Source organism: Homo sapiens, chromosome 9, assembly GCF_000001405.40.
Source record: "Homo sapiens chromosome 9, GRCh38.p14 Primary Assembly".
Classification (NCBI taxonomy): Eukaryota; Metazoa; Chordata; class Mammalia; order Primates; family Hominidae; genus Homo; species Homo sapiens.
In genome coordinates, this window is record NC_000009.12 from 76394831 (window position 1) to 76408552 (window position 13722).

The following is a 13722-nucleotide window of genomic DNA, read 5'->3' on the forward strand; positions in this document are numbered from 1 at the left end:
TCGCTCGTTCCGTTCGCTCTTTAAGTATTTATTAAAGCTCCAAAATTCAGCTCAAAGATCGCCTCTTCACAGAGGCTTTTCCTGGCCGCCCTACCAGAAGCGGTCGTCCTCCAGGACCACTGACCACGTTCTGGAGTTATTAATATATTCGAATGTAAGCTCCAAGGGAGAAGTCCCTGTCTGTGACGCTGTTAACCCCAGAGACTAGTGGAAGGTTACCGACATGGGCGGTGACTGTCCCCTCCAGGCTGTCTTCTTGACAATTTCACAAGCCCGATAACAGGCCGTCCCTCTACTGCAATGCAGATAGAGGCCTTCGTACCCTCGGAACTGTAAATACGCACGCTCCTAGGGAAGTAGCTCTGGGCTCACTCACAGGATATGCAGGGTGCAAGGTTATAAGAAGGTGCATCCTCTTAACGTCTCGAAGACAAAGAAGTTTTTTATTTATTTTTTTAAATTTTTAATCAATGGAATCCAGAGAAGTTTAATTTTTTTCTTTTTTGCTCTATACATTTGTATAAAATTCTGTGCAGACCGTGTAGTCTCTTTCTACCTTACATGTATGCATCTCTGATAAGATTTACCTGATATTAAATTTATGTTCTAGGCCAGGCTTGGTGGCTCACGCCTGTATTCCCAGTAGTTTGAGAGGCCGACGCGGGAGGATTGATTGAGCCCAGGAGGTCGAGGCTGCACTGAGCTATGATAACGCCACTGCACTCCAGACTGGGCGACACAGTGAGACACCCTCACCCCTTAAAAGAACTAGAGAAGAAGAAGGAAGGGAGGGAAGGGAAAGGAAAGGGGAAGGGAAAGTGAAAGGGAAGAAAAGGGAAGGGAAGGGAGAGAAGGACCCAAAGAAGCAATTATGGTCAGTTACTTATCTATACGGAATTAAACAAAGAATAATGAGAATAACGATAATAGTAATACCGGTAGTAAGAGTAGTAATAGCAAGTTGTGAAAAGCAATTAAGTTATCTGGAGAGGCTTAAGAGTTATTTTAGCAAGGTGTGTACAGGATTCTCTCACTCTTGACTCCCGTCCTTAATAAGAGTGCTGCATTCCTTCTAATATAGGGAGGATGTCTCTCATATGGTAATTTCATCTGCTTCTAAGAAACAGAAAAGAGGTCAGAATGATTTTTTTGTATCTATTGTTTTTCAAGTGCTTTTAATTCAAAATAGTCAATATGCAAGAATGGTATATTTTTAACTTCATCAGCAGTGATACACCTAATAAGAAAAGCCTGGAGGTGAGAACTTGATAAATCATCCCTGGGTCTTACGCCACTAAGCCCTAGGTTGCAAGAAGGTATGAGAATTAAATGAGATAAAATAATTAAATGAATCATAGGAGGTAAATGAGGAGGGGTGGTTTTAAGAATAGAGAAAATGCTAAGTATTTTTCACACTGTCTCATGTAATCCTCTCATCAGCTTTGTTGGAAAGCATTAACCTAAACGTATAAAAATGGGCGGGGCATGGTGGCTTACGCCTGTAATCCCAGCACTCTGGGAGACCGAGGTGAGCGGATCTCTTGAGCTGAGGAGTTCAAGACCAGCCTGGGCAAAATAGGGAGACTTCCGTCTATCCAAAAATTTTAAAATAAAAATAAGTAAGAAAGAGAGAAAAAAGAAAGAAAAGAAAAGAAACAAGAAAAAAAAGAAGAAAGGGGAAAGAAAAGAAGAGGAGAAAATAAGAAAGAAAATTTTAAAAATCAGCCAGGGCCTGGCACAGTGGCTCATGCCTGTAATCCCAGCACTTTGGGAGGCTGAGGCCGGTGGATCACTTGAGCTCAGGAGTTGGAGACCAGCCTGGGCAACATGGTGAAACCCCGTCTCTACAAAAAATACAAAAATTAGCCGGGAGTGGTGGCGCTCACCTGTGGTCCTAGATACCCTGGAGGCCGAGGCACAAGAGTCGCTCGAACCTGGCGGCAGTTGCAGTGAGCTGGAGATCACGCCACTGCACTCCATATGGGGCAACAGAGCGAGACTCTGTCTCAGCCAGGTGGTGGTGGCTCGTGCCTATAGCCCCAGCTACTTGGGAAACTGAGGAGTGAGGATCGCCTGAGCCCCAGAATTTGAGGCAGCAGTGAGCTGTGATTGAACCACTGCACTCCAGCCTAATGACAAAGCAAGACACGGTCACTAAAAAAATAAATAGGCCGGGCGCAGTGGCTCTTGCCTGTAATCCCAGCACTTTGGGAGACCGAGGCAGGTGGATCACCTGAGGCCAGGAGTTCAATACCAGCCTGGACAACATGGCAAAACTCGGTCTCTACTAAAAATACAAAAATTAGCCAGGCATGGCAGTGAATGCCAGTAATCCCAGCTACTCGGGAGACTGGGGCGGAAGAATCGCTTGAACCCAGGAGGCGGAGGTTGCTATGAGCCGAGATTGCTCCATTGTACTCCAGCCTGAGTGACAGAGCAAGATTCCTTCTCAATAAATAATACATAAATAAATAGATAGATTTAAAAAAAAAAAGGAGAGTCTTGTAGAATGTTTAAGATGGAGCAGTCAGGCTCCAATCTTTAAAACTACCATTTACATGTCAAGTCATATGGGTAATTACTGTGTTATCAGCATAGGATATAGAAGAAAGAATTTTTTTTTTTTTTTTTGAACCAGAGTCTCACTCTGTCACTCAGGTTGGAGTGCAGTGGCGCAATCTCGGCTCACTGCAACCTCCACCTCCCGGGCTCAAGTGATTCTCCTGCCTCAGCCTCCCGAGTAGCTGGGACTACAGGTTTATGCCACCACGCCCGGCTAATTTTTGCATTTTTAATAGAGACAGGGTTTCATCATGTTGGCCAGGCTGTTCTGGAACTCCTGGCTTCAAGTGATCCACCTTCCTCGGCCTCCCAAGAAGGAAGAATTCTGATCATTTTCCACCACCGCTCAATAGCGTTCAATGGCTCCTCCCCTCTGACTGAAGAATAAACCCTCCAAGAGTTGTACTTCTAAGAACTCCCATCAAGTACTCAATCTGTTGATCAAAGCAGACCCCTCCACCTTGCTTCAGAGGCCAAAGCATATGCTTCAAATAATTCAATAATTATTCTGTAGGCTATAGGATTTATAATTTTTCTTCTTCATTTGACTCCAAAAATATGCTACCTAGCATTCTCAGTAAATCTAGAGTTGAGAGTCTATGTGTCTTTGCCAAACTTACTGCTTTTAACCAAGGAAGTATTCTAAAACGTGTTTTTTATTTCCCCCTCTGAACTGCACTTGCACATCCTTTCAGCTGCCTGTAGGGAAAGAGTCCACTTCTCTGGTTTAATTTGTCTCTGTAGAAAGAAGGATCACAAATAAGACTAAAGAGAAAGTAGAACTGGCAGCTTGTGAGGGAAAAGAAGGCTTATTCTAAGTAAGCAATGAAAAATGAATCTGAAGAATTCTTAAAATTCAGCAATAAGAAAATAAGCAACTCAATTAAAAAATGAGCAAAAGATCTGAATAAGCATATGAAAAGATGTTCAACATCATATATCGTGAGGGAAATACAAATTAAAACAACAATGAGATACTACTATATACCAATTAGAATGGCCAAAATTCAGAACACTGACAACACCAAATGCTGGCAACCATGTAGAGCAACAGGAACTTTCATTCATTGTTGGTGGGAATACAAAATGGTACAGCCCCTTGGAAGATAATATGGCAGTTTCTTATAAAACTAAACGTACTTTTACTATGTTATCCAGAAATTGTGCTCACTTATATTTAATCAAATGAGGTGAAAACTTTTATCCACACAAAAACCTATTTGTTTTTGCTTTCCGCGCTACCTACAGAGGGGCCCATACGGCGTTGTTCTGGATTCCCGTCGTAACTTAAAGGGAAACTTTCACAATGTCCGGAGCCCTTGATGTCCTGCAAATGAAGGAGGAGGATGTCCTTAAGTTCCTTGCAGCAGGAACCCACTTAGGTGGCACCAATCTTGACTTCCAGATGGAACAGTACATCTGTAAAAGGAAAAGTAATGGCATCTATATCATAAATCTGAAGAGGACCTGGGAGAAGCTTCTGCTGGCAGCTAGTGCTATTGTTGCCATTGAAAACCCTGCTGATGTCAGTGTTATATCCTCCAGGAATACTGGCCAGAGGGCTGTGCTGAAGTTTGCTGCTGCCACTGGAGCCACTCCAATTGCTGGCCACTTCACTCCTGGAACCTTCACTAACCAGATCCAGGCAGCCTTCCGGGAGCCATGGCTTCTTGTGGTTACTGACCCCAGGGCTGACCACCAGCCTCTCACGGAGGCATCTTATGTTAACCTACCTACCATTGCTCTGTGTAACACAGATTCTCCTATGCGCTATGTGGACATTGCCATCCCATGCAACAACAAGGGAGCTCACTCAGTGGGTTTGATGTGGTAGATGCTGGCTCGGGAAGTTCTGCGCATGTGTAGCACGATTTCCTATGACCACCCGTGGGAGGTCATGCCTGATCTCTACTTCTACAGAGATCCTGAAGATATTGAAAAAGAAGAGCAGGCTGCTGCTGAAAAGGCAGTGACCAAGGAGGAATTTCAGGGTGAATGGACTGCTCCAGCTCCTGAGTTCACTGCTACTCAGCCTGAGGTTGCAGACTGGTCTGAAGGTGTACAGGTGCCCTCTGTGCCTATTCAGCAGTTCCCTACTGAAGACTGGAGCGCTCAGCCTGCCACGGAAGACTGGTCTGCAGCTCCCACTGCTCAGGCCACTGAATGGGTAGGAGCAACCACTGACTGGTCTTAAGCTGTTCTTGCATAGGCTCTTAAGCAACATGGAAAAATGGTTGATGGAAAATAAACATCAGTTTCTTAAAAAAAAAAAAACCTATTTGTTTTTACCCCAATCCATTTTTACCCCTACTCCCACTGAATGCAAATGGAATGGATGAATGGATGTTTTATTTCTATTTTATTTTATTTTTATTTTGTTTCACATGGATGTTTATAGCAGCTTTATTCAGAATTGCCAAAACGTGGAAGCAACTGAGATGTCCTTCAATAGGTGGGATAAACAAGCTGTTGTATATCCATATAATGCCATACTATTCTGTGCTAAAAAGAAATGAGCTATCAAGCCACAAAAAGACCTAGAGGAAACTTAACTGCATATTACTAAGTGAAAGAAGCCAGTCTGAAAAGGCTACATAACACATGATTCCAATTATATTACATTCTGAATAAAACTATGGAGACAGTAAACAGATCAGTGGTTACCAGGGTTTGGGGAAGTTGGAGGTCGGAGGGAGGGATGAATGTGAAGCACAGGGGATTTTTAGGGCAGTGAAACTATTCTGTATGATACTGTCCTCATGAATATATGACATTATGCATGTATCAAAACCCATAGAACTATACAGCAACAGCAGCTGCCAACCTAAAACTGCTCTAAAAAGTAGAGTCTATTAGTTTTTGAATAATTAATCTAAAAATTTCTGACTTGGAGTCTGACATCAACGTTCACACCTTCCACACCTAAATAGTTACCAAGTCTCTCCCAATCCATTTTTACCCCTCCTCCCACTGAATGCAAGCCATGACCCCTTACCTGCACAGGTGTAGCCAACTCTATTCTCCCAGCCTTAGATTTGACACTAGTCTCTCTCTACTGCTTTTTCGTGCTGCTATAACCTTTCAAATGCCAATCTGATCAAATCACACTAAAAGTCATGTTCTGCTTCCCTCTGTCTTAGGATCAGTCTAAACTAAACCATTGTTCACAGATTCTCCCTATCACACTCCTCAGCTCCTGCCTCTACATTCTCTACCCAGAAGCCCTAGGGAACTTTACCAATTCCTCTAACTCACTCTTTGGACTTCATATAAACAGGCTTCCTAGCATGAGACAATGCTACCAGTAGGCCAGAGAGCAAGGGAACCCTGTGAGTCAGGTATGCTTGACAATGCCTTCCAGAGAGGTGGGACTTGAGCTGGAGCCTTGGGGCATGTGTGAATCGACTAAACAGAGAAGAGGAAAGAAAAATGTCTAGCTAGGGAGAGTTCCTGTGATCATATTTCCAAGAAAGGGATGTGCAGTAAACAAGCCAGAACTACTAAGCTCTACTGAGAGGTGATAGAGCTTAGTAGTAGGTAAGGGGGACTCTGGCTCTTACACCAGTTTCCTGTCTGTGAGAAAATAATCACCATAGCACCTCATAAAGCATTTGAAAGATTTAAGACTTAATGCATGTGAAGTAACTAAATCAGTGTGTAATGTGTAGTAAGCCTTCTGTATTGGCTGTTATGATGATGATTACCTGTTGGTCTGCTATAGAAAATTCATTATAACTGGACTACAGTCCAAATAAGCTGGCTGAGTGTAAGTGTCTTCAGAATTCTACCTTGGAAAACAGACATGTAAAATTCTACATAAAAGCCCAATATAGAAAATAAATAATGTTTTATTTATTTATGTATTTACATATTTATTTTAGAGATGGGATCTCGCTATGTTGCCCAGGCTAGAGTGCAGTGGCTATTCACAGGCAAGCTCATAGCACACTATAGCCTCGAAATCCTGGAATTAAGCCATCTGCCTGCCTTGGCCTCCTGCATAACTGGAACTACAGGTGTACACCACCATGCCATAAAAACAAGTGTTATTTTATAACCACAAATGTATTTGTGGTTCAAACTCATAAAATTTACTTCATGTAGTACAAATTTACTCAATAAGAACACATTAATGAAGTTTACAGTGTAAAGAAAGAAAACTAATTTTTTTCCTCACCCCTAATGCGTTGTTAGAAGGGACCCCCTGTAACAAAAAACAGATTATCAAAGCAAGAGCAAACATGTTTATTATCATGTATATTTTATATGTATATGGGAGATGCCCAGGGAATGAATAATTCTCAAAGAGGTGACTCAGACCTCTAGCTTATATAAACTTCAATAAAGAACATTAAGGACCAGCACAGTGACTCACTGCTATAATCCCAGCACTTTGGGAGGCTGAGGCCAGAGGATCCCTTGAGCCCAGGAGGTTGTGGCTGCAGTGAGCCATGATCATGCCACTGCACTCCAGCCTGGGTGACAGAGCAAGACCCTGTCTCAAACAAACAAACAAAAAACACACTACATTTCTAAAGAAAGGACAAGACAGAGGAAAAGAACTTTGAATCTCTGGAGGTGGCAAATTGTGGGAAGGCAAAATAATGATAGATGAAGTCCACTTAGCAAAGCTTATTAACGTAGATTCCTCTTGTGCCATCTCCAGCCAGATGAGGGCTACAGTTGTCTTCAGTGGTTAACTTTTGTCCTTCCGGGTACAGAGGGAAGAAGGGCACCTTTGTCTTTGTAAATCTGTGTCCTGCCACTAGGTAAACAGAGGAGAGGCAGAGAGCTTTCCTGTATCTGCTTCCTCCCACTTGCTCTTAGCTTAAAAATTTTTTTGTCAAAGAGGCATATTTTTTGGTTAACACATCCAGTTTTCCTTCAACACTCTCAACTACATCCGAATTTGCTTCCTATCACTGTTTGTACTGTTGTATCATATTAAATTCAGAAAACATATTTTAAAATAACATTTTGAAAACTAAATTCATAAAAGACATTTTTAAATGAAATGTGCTTTGAATATTTAGAACCTTTTGAAGCACACAAATTGTAAATTACTCATCTGGTCTAACATTGTTATTTTGCACCAAAAAAAAGCAGACTGAGAGCCTACGACCTACTAAACCCAAAAGAAAACAGAGAGTCTACAAAATGCTGAGAAGCTGTCCATCCGTTTGACAATGGACCTAAGATCACCTTTTCTGAAAGAGTTAAGTGATCTCCAGGTCTGTCTGCTATATGCAGCTGCCTCATAATAACCCATAATGAAATGTTTATTTGGCTGATTTTTTTTTTTTTTGAGACAGTGTCTCACTCTGTTGCCCAGGCTGGAGTACAATGGCATGATCTCGGCTCACTACAACCTCCACCTCCTGGGTTCAAGTGATTCTCCTGCCTCAGCCTCCTGAGTAGCTGGCATTACAGGCACGCGCCACCACGCCCGGCTGATTTTTGTGTTTTTAGTAGAGACGGGGTTTCACCCTGTTGGCCAGGTTGGTCTCAAACTCCTGACCTTGTGATCTGCCTGCCTCGGCCTCCCAGAGTGCTGGGATTACATGCATGAGCCACCGTGCCCAGCCCTGATTGTTTAATAAATACACCGCACATATGGAAATGGAAGGTTGTCAGTAGTACTAATAAACAATTCTTATACCTATATGGAATGTAAACCAAATTTTGTCAACTTCTACCCACATGAGACACTAAAAATATCTCTGGAAAATTAGATTCTAATGTCAGGTCAGGCCTGAAAACCAAGAGCTTACCTACAATATCAAATGTTTTAGAAAAAGGTATTCCTTCCTTCATCCATTCATTCACTGGCTGCTTTAATAGGGTCCACTCCAAATCAAGGGTGTGATGATTACTAATTTTTAAAAATCGATACTCCACAAATATTTGAGTACCTACTGTTCCTTGTGTATTTCCTGTATGGCTTTTTGATTTTTGTTTTTTGTTTTTGCATTGAGCAAAAATTGCTTGTATTACAGGGGAAAAACTATGCAAATGCAATGTTAAATTCTCACCACCAAAACCAAAAGCACTACAAGAATTTCATTCCTCATGCATCCACAAGATGGCATATTAAAATTTTGCTTTTTACTGACATGAACCTAGAACTGCGGTGACACATGAAATAAGAACTGCAAATGGAAAATGAAAGTTAGGGAATGAGGTTCATCAGGCCCTGTGCTAGACACGGGAGGATTCTGTACTCAGAAATGTTTGGCCTGCTCATTGCTTCATGTGCTTGGATCTGGTTCTTTGGTGAAGCATGGCTACTGCATTCTATCTTCTTCCTCAATCACAAAAGATAAAAAGACTGTCTTAATTTAGAAAGTTAATGCTTTTTGATGTTTCCTTTGAATATATGTTTCACTATAGAAGAAGAAAATGGAGAAAGAGAAAAAGGAGGAGAAGAGCACCTAGAATTATAGGCAGAAGAATTCAGACTTCTTTCCCATTAAAAAATTGTTTTTAATTATACATTTGGTGCAATGATGGTATAGGAGATAAAGATGCTAAAAATTTCTGAGACGAAGAAGAAGGAAAACTTTCTAGGACACTGGACTCTTTTCAGAATAATGAGTAAATATGTCTGAGATTCTGGAGATGAACTTTGACCTCTGTTCGGAGTAATTCCCCTTCTAAGGCAGGATTTACTGATAGTGAAATTAACCATTCTTTAGTGTCCATGACAGCCGTCTGTCTTATGTTCTCTCAAATTCATGATACCTTTGGAATGTGACCGTGATGGCAAAAATATAGGTGTTACCAACAGTAATTACATATAAAATTATTTCAGTTTGTCTTCAAAATTACTGGTGTTTCCCTCCTTTTTTCTCACAATGATGATATAAAATTTTAGGAATTTTTTTTAATTTTAGAATTTTTTTTCTGTCCAATATATAAAATAATACAGCTACTTAGAAAATTGGTCTAATCTGCTGATGTGTCAGCATGAACTATATATTTAGAAGATGAAAAATAAAAGTGTGTAGTGGGGTGGTGGTATAGATTGGAAAATTATTACCAGCTGAATAAAAAATAGTAGGCTAAATTAAAAATGCTCCCAAATATTTTTCACTCCTTTTATTGAGAGGGGAAGCCCATTTCCTCTCCCCACTAAAACTGACCTGGTTGTGAAATTTGACCAATAAAATCTGGCAGAAGTGATATCGTGTAACTTCAAAGGTGTGCTTACAGAGAACTGTAGCAACTCTGTGATAGGCTTTGAATGCTCTCTGTTAGAAGCTGGGCATGATATAAGTCCAGCTACCCTTCTAGAGAAAGAGATATATGAAGAGAGGCCTGAAGTATCCTGGACATTTCAGTCTCAAATGAGCTCCTGGAAGGAATACTGCTCAGGTGAGACCCAAGCAACCCAGAAAATAATTTGAAATAATAGATTATTTTAAGTCATCTTTTTTTTTTTTTTAAACAGAGTCTTGCTCTGTGGCCCAGGCTGGAGAGCAGTGGCGTGACCTCAGCTCACTGCAATCTCCACCTTCCAGGTTCAAGATTCTCCTGCCTCAGCCTCCCAAGTAGCTGGGATCACAGGCGTGTACACCACCATGCCTGGCTAATTTTTGTATCTTTTTCTAGAGATGGGGTTTTGCCATGTTGACCAGGCTGGTCTCAAACTCCTGGCCTCAGATGATCTGCCCGCCTCAGCCTCCCAAAGTGCTGGGATTACAGGCATGAGCCACCAGACCCAACCCAAGTCATCAAATTTTGAGGTGGTTTGTTCTACAAAAATAGCCAAACCAGCTAGTGAGCTCTGTTTTGCCAATACTTTTTTCCTTTAAGTAGACTTTTTTTAAAAAGCAGTTTTAGGTTCACAGAAAAATTGAGAAGTACAGAAAGTTCCCATATACTCCCTGACCTTCAACACACACACACACACACACACACACACAGGCTTCCTCACTATAGACATCCTGCACTAGGCACTAGAATGTACATGTTACAACTGATATATGTGCATTGATGTAATATCACCCCAAGTCTGTAATTTACATGAGAGTTCACTCTTGGAGTTATACATTCTATGGGTTTACACAAAGGAATACCGACTTGTATCCACCATTATCGTATCATACAGAGCATTTTCACTGTCATAAAAATCCTCTGTGCTTTACTTATTCATCCCTCCCTCACCCCTAATCCTTGACAACCACTGATCTTTTAACTGTCTTCATAGTTTTGCCTTTTCCACAGTGACACATAGTTGGAATTATAAAAGATGTAGCATTTTCAGACTGGCTTCTTTCACTTAAAAATATGCAGTTAAGTTTCCTCCACGTCTTCATGGCTTGATGGCTCATTTATTTTTAGCATAGAATAATATTCTATTGTCTGTGTGTATCATAGTTTATTTTCCTATTCTCCTATTGAAGGACGTCTTGATTGCTTCCAAGTTTTGGCAGTTCTGAATAAAGCTGCTCTAAACATCAATCTGCAGGTTTTTGTGTGAATATAGGTTTTCAATTAATTTGGGTAAATACCAAATAATACAATTGCTGGATCATGTGGTAAGAGTATGTTTAGTTTTATAGGAAACTGCCAAACTGTGTAACAAAATGACTATACCATTTTGCATTCCCACCAGCAATTAAGGAGAGCTCCTGTTGCTGCACATCCTTGCCAGCATTTGGTGTGGTCAGTGTTCTGGATTTGGGCCCTTCCAATAGGCCTAGAGTGGTAATTTGCATTTCTCTGATGACATATGATGTGGAACATCTTTTCATATGCTTATTTGCCATCTGTATATCATCTTTGGTGAAGTGTCTGTTCAGGTCTTTTGCTTATTTAAAAACATCAGACCAGATGCAGTGGCTCATCTCAGCACTTTGGGAGGCCAAGGTGGGAGGATTGCTCGAGCCCAGGAGTTCAAGACAGCCTGGGCAACATAGTGAGACCCTTTATCTACAAAAATATTTTAAAAATTAGCTGGGCATGGGTGATATGTGCCTGTAGTTCCAGCTACTTGGGAGGCTGAGGTAGAAAGATCACTTGAGCCTAGGAGATCAAGGCTACAGTGAGCCATGATTGTGCCACTGCACTCCAGCCTAAGCAACAGAGCAAGACCCTGTCTCAAAAAAAAAAAAAAAAAAGAAAGAAAGAAAAAAGAAAAATTGGCTAGGCGTGGTGGCTCACGGGTGTGGTGGCGTGCACCTGTAGTCCCAGCTACTCAGGAGGCTGAGGCAGGAGAATTGCTTGAACCCAGGAGGCGAAGGTTGCAGTGAGTCGAGATTGTGCCACTGCACTCCAGCCTGGGCAACAGAGCGAGACTCCATCTCAAAAAAGGAAAAAATCATCAGGTTGTTCACTTTCTTCTTGTAGAGTTTTAAGAGTTCTGGCCAGGCACAGTGGCTCATGACTGTAACCCCAGCATTCTGGGAGGCTGAGCCAGGTGAATCACTTGAAGCCAGGAGTTAGAGACCATCCTGACCAACATGGCAAAATCCAGTTTCTATTAAAAATACAATAATTAGCCGGGCATGGTGGCTCATGCCTGTAATTCCAGCTACTCAGGAGGCTGAGGTACCAGAATCATTTGAACCCCAGAGGCAGAGGTTGCAGTGAGCTGAGATTGTGCCATTGCACTTCAGCCTGGGCAGCAGAGAAAGACACCATCTCAAAAAATAAAATAAAAAGTCATTCCCATACACAAGGTCATCTAGATTTTCTCCTATGTTATCTTCTAGGAATTTTATAGTTTTGCATTTTACAAAATGATCCATTTTGAGTTAATTTTTTTTTTTTTAGCTTCTGGGTCAGTGTTCTCTATTGCCACACTACTGCACTGCATTTACACTTCAAATTTCTAAAATAGGATTTATATATTATAATAGAGTTATTTTTCTCATTTTGAACTAATTTTGGGCATGAGTATAAAGTCTATGTCTAGATTCTTTTTTTTTTCCTGCATGTAGATGTCCAGTTGTTCCAGCAGCATTTCTTGAACACTCTTGTCCATTTTCTCCTTTGCTCCTTTGTGAAACATAAATTCACTATATTTATTTGGCTCTATATCTGCCTCTCTGTTCTGTTCTATTGATCTATTTGTCCACTTTTTCATCAACACTACTATGTCTTGATTACTTTTAGTAAATCCTGTAGCTTTATAGTAAATCGTGAAGTCAGGTAGTGTCAGTCCTCTGACTAACACTCATGCATGATTATGTTGGCTATTCTGGGTCTTTTGTGTCTCCATATAAACTTTAGAATCAGTTTGTCAATATCACAAAATAACTTGCTGGGAATTTGGTTGGTATTCTGTTGAATCTATAGATCGCATTGAGAAGAACGGACATCTTAACAATATTGAATTGCCAATCCTTGAACATGGAATACTTCTTCATTTATTTAGTTCTTCTTTGATTTATTTCATCAGAGTTTTGTAGTTTTTCTCATATAGATCTTGTACATATTTTGTTAGATTCATACCTAAGTATTCCATATTTTGGGGTGTTAATATAAATGGTATTGATATTATGTTTTAAGTTTCTAATTCCACTGGTTAATTGCTGATATACCAGAAAGGAATCAAATTTTGTGTGTTAATCTTGTATCCTGCAACCTTGCTATACTTATTTATTAGTTCCAGGAATCTTTTGTTGTGGTGGTTTATTCTTATGGATTTTCTACGTAAATGTTCAGATCATCTGCAAACAAAGACAGCTTTACTTCTTCCTTCTCAATCTGCATACCTTTTATTTCTGTTTCTTTCCTTACTGCATTAGTTAGGACTTCCAAGTATGATTTTAAAAGGGAGTGGTAAGAGGGGAAATCTTTGACCTGCTCCTGCTCTGGGAAAGCTTCTAATTTTTCATCATTAGCTGTGGGGTGTTTTTGTAAATGTTCTTTATTCTATTGAAGAAGTTCCCTTTTATTCCTAATTTGCTGAGTTTTTGTCATGAATGGGTATTGGTTTTATCAAATAATTGTTCTGCACCTATTAATATGATCATGTTTTTTTCTTTTTTAGTCTGTTGAAATGATGAATTATTAATCATTAATTTTCAAACATTGAACCAGGCTTACATACCTGGAATAAATTTCCTTGGTCATGTATATAATTTTTTTTTCTTGCAGCCTCAGTTCAAAGGATCTTTTTACACATTGTTGGATTTAACTTGCTAATATTTT

The 13722-nt window shown here is 40.4% G+C and overlaps 1 protein-coding gene and 1 pseudogene across 5 annotated transcripts in view, besides 2 other annotated features; both read left to right on the forward strand.

The window, feature by feature from the left end:
- GCNT1 (glucosaminyl (N-acetyl) transferase 1) overlaps window positions 1–13722 on the forward strand; it is a 113548-nt gene that overhangs the window by 962 nt on the left and 98864 nt on the right. For 2 of the 4 annotated variants that reach the window (NM_001407181.1, NM_001407182.1), the window contains exon 2: window positions 611–741. The exons of 1 other annotated variant lie outside the window; for it this stretch is intronic. The gene's annotated coding sequence lies outside the window, so the exon portion shown is untranslated. Of the gene's footprint in view, window positions 1–22; window positions 155–610; window positions 742–13722 lie in introns of those variants that run through there. One more of the 4 variants, NM_001407184.1, reaches the window with a different exon arrangement.
- Window positions 15–254: an enhancer, noted in NCBI's record as "active region_28471". NCBI's record gives its function as "activates an Ori minimal core promoter by ATAC-STARR-seq in GM12878 lymphoblastoid cells {active_cell/tissue: GM12878}" and the evidence as "EXISTENCE:reporter gene assay evidence [ECO:0000049][PMID:35858748]".
- RPSAP9 (ribosomal protein SA pseudogene 9) lies at window positions 3769–5208 on the forward strand (annotated as a pseudogene). The gene has a single exon (NR_026890.1). The product of NR_026890.1 is annotated as a ribosomal protein SA pseudogene 9 (transcript).
- Window positions 7143–7437: an enhancer, noted in NCBI's record as "tiled region #2310; HepG2 Activating DNase matched - State 5:Enh". NCBI's record gives its function as "activates a minimal TATA promoter and a strong SV40 promoter by Sharpr-MPRA in HepG2 cells {active_cell/tissue: HepG2}" and the evidence as "EXISTENCE:reporter gene assay evidence [ECO:0000049][PMID:27701403]".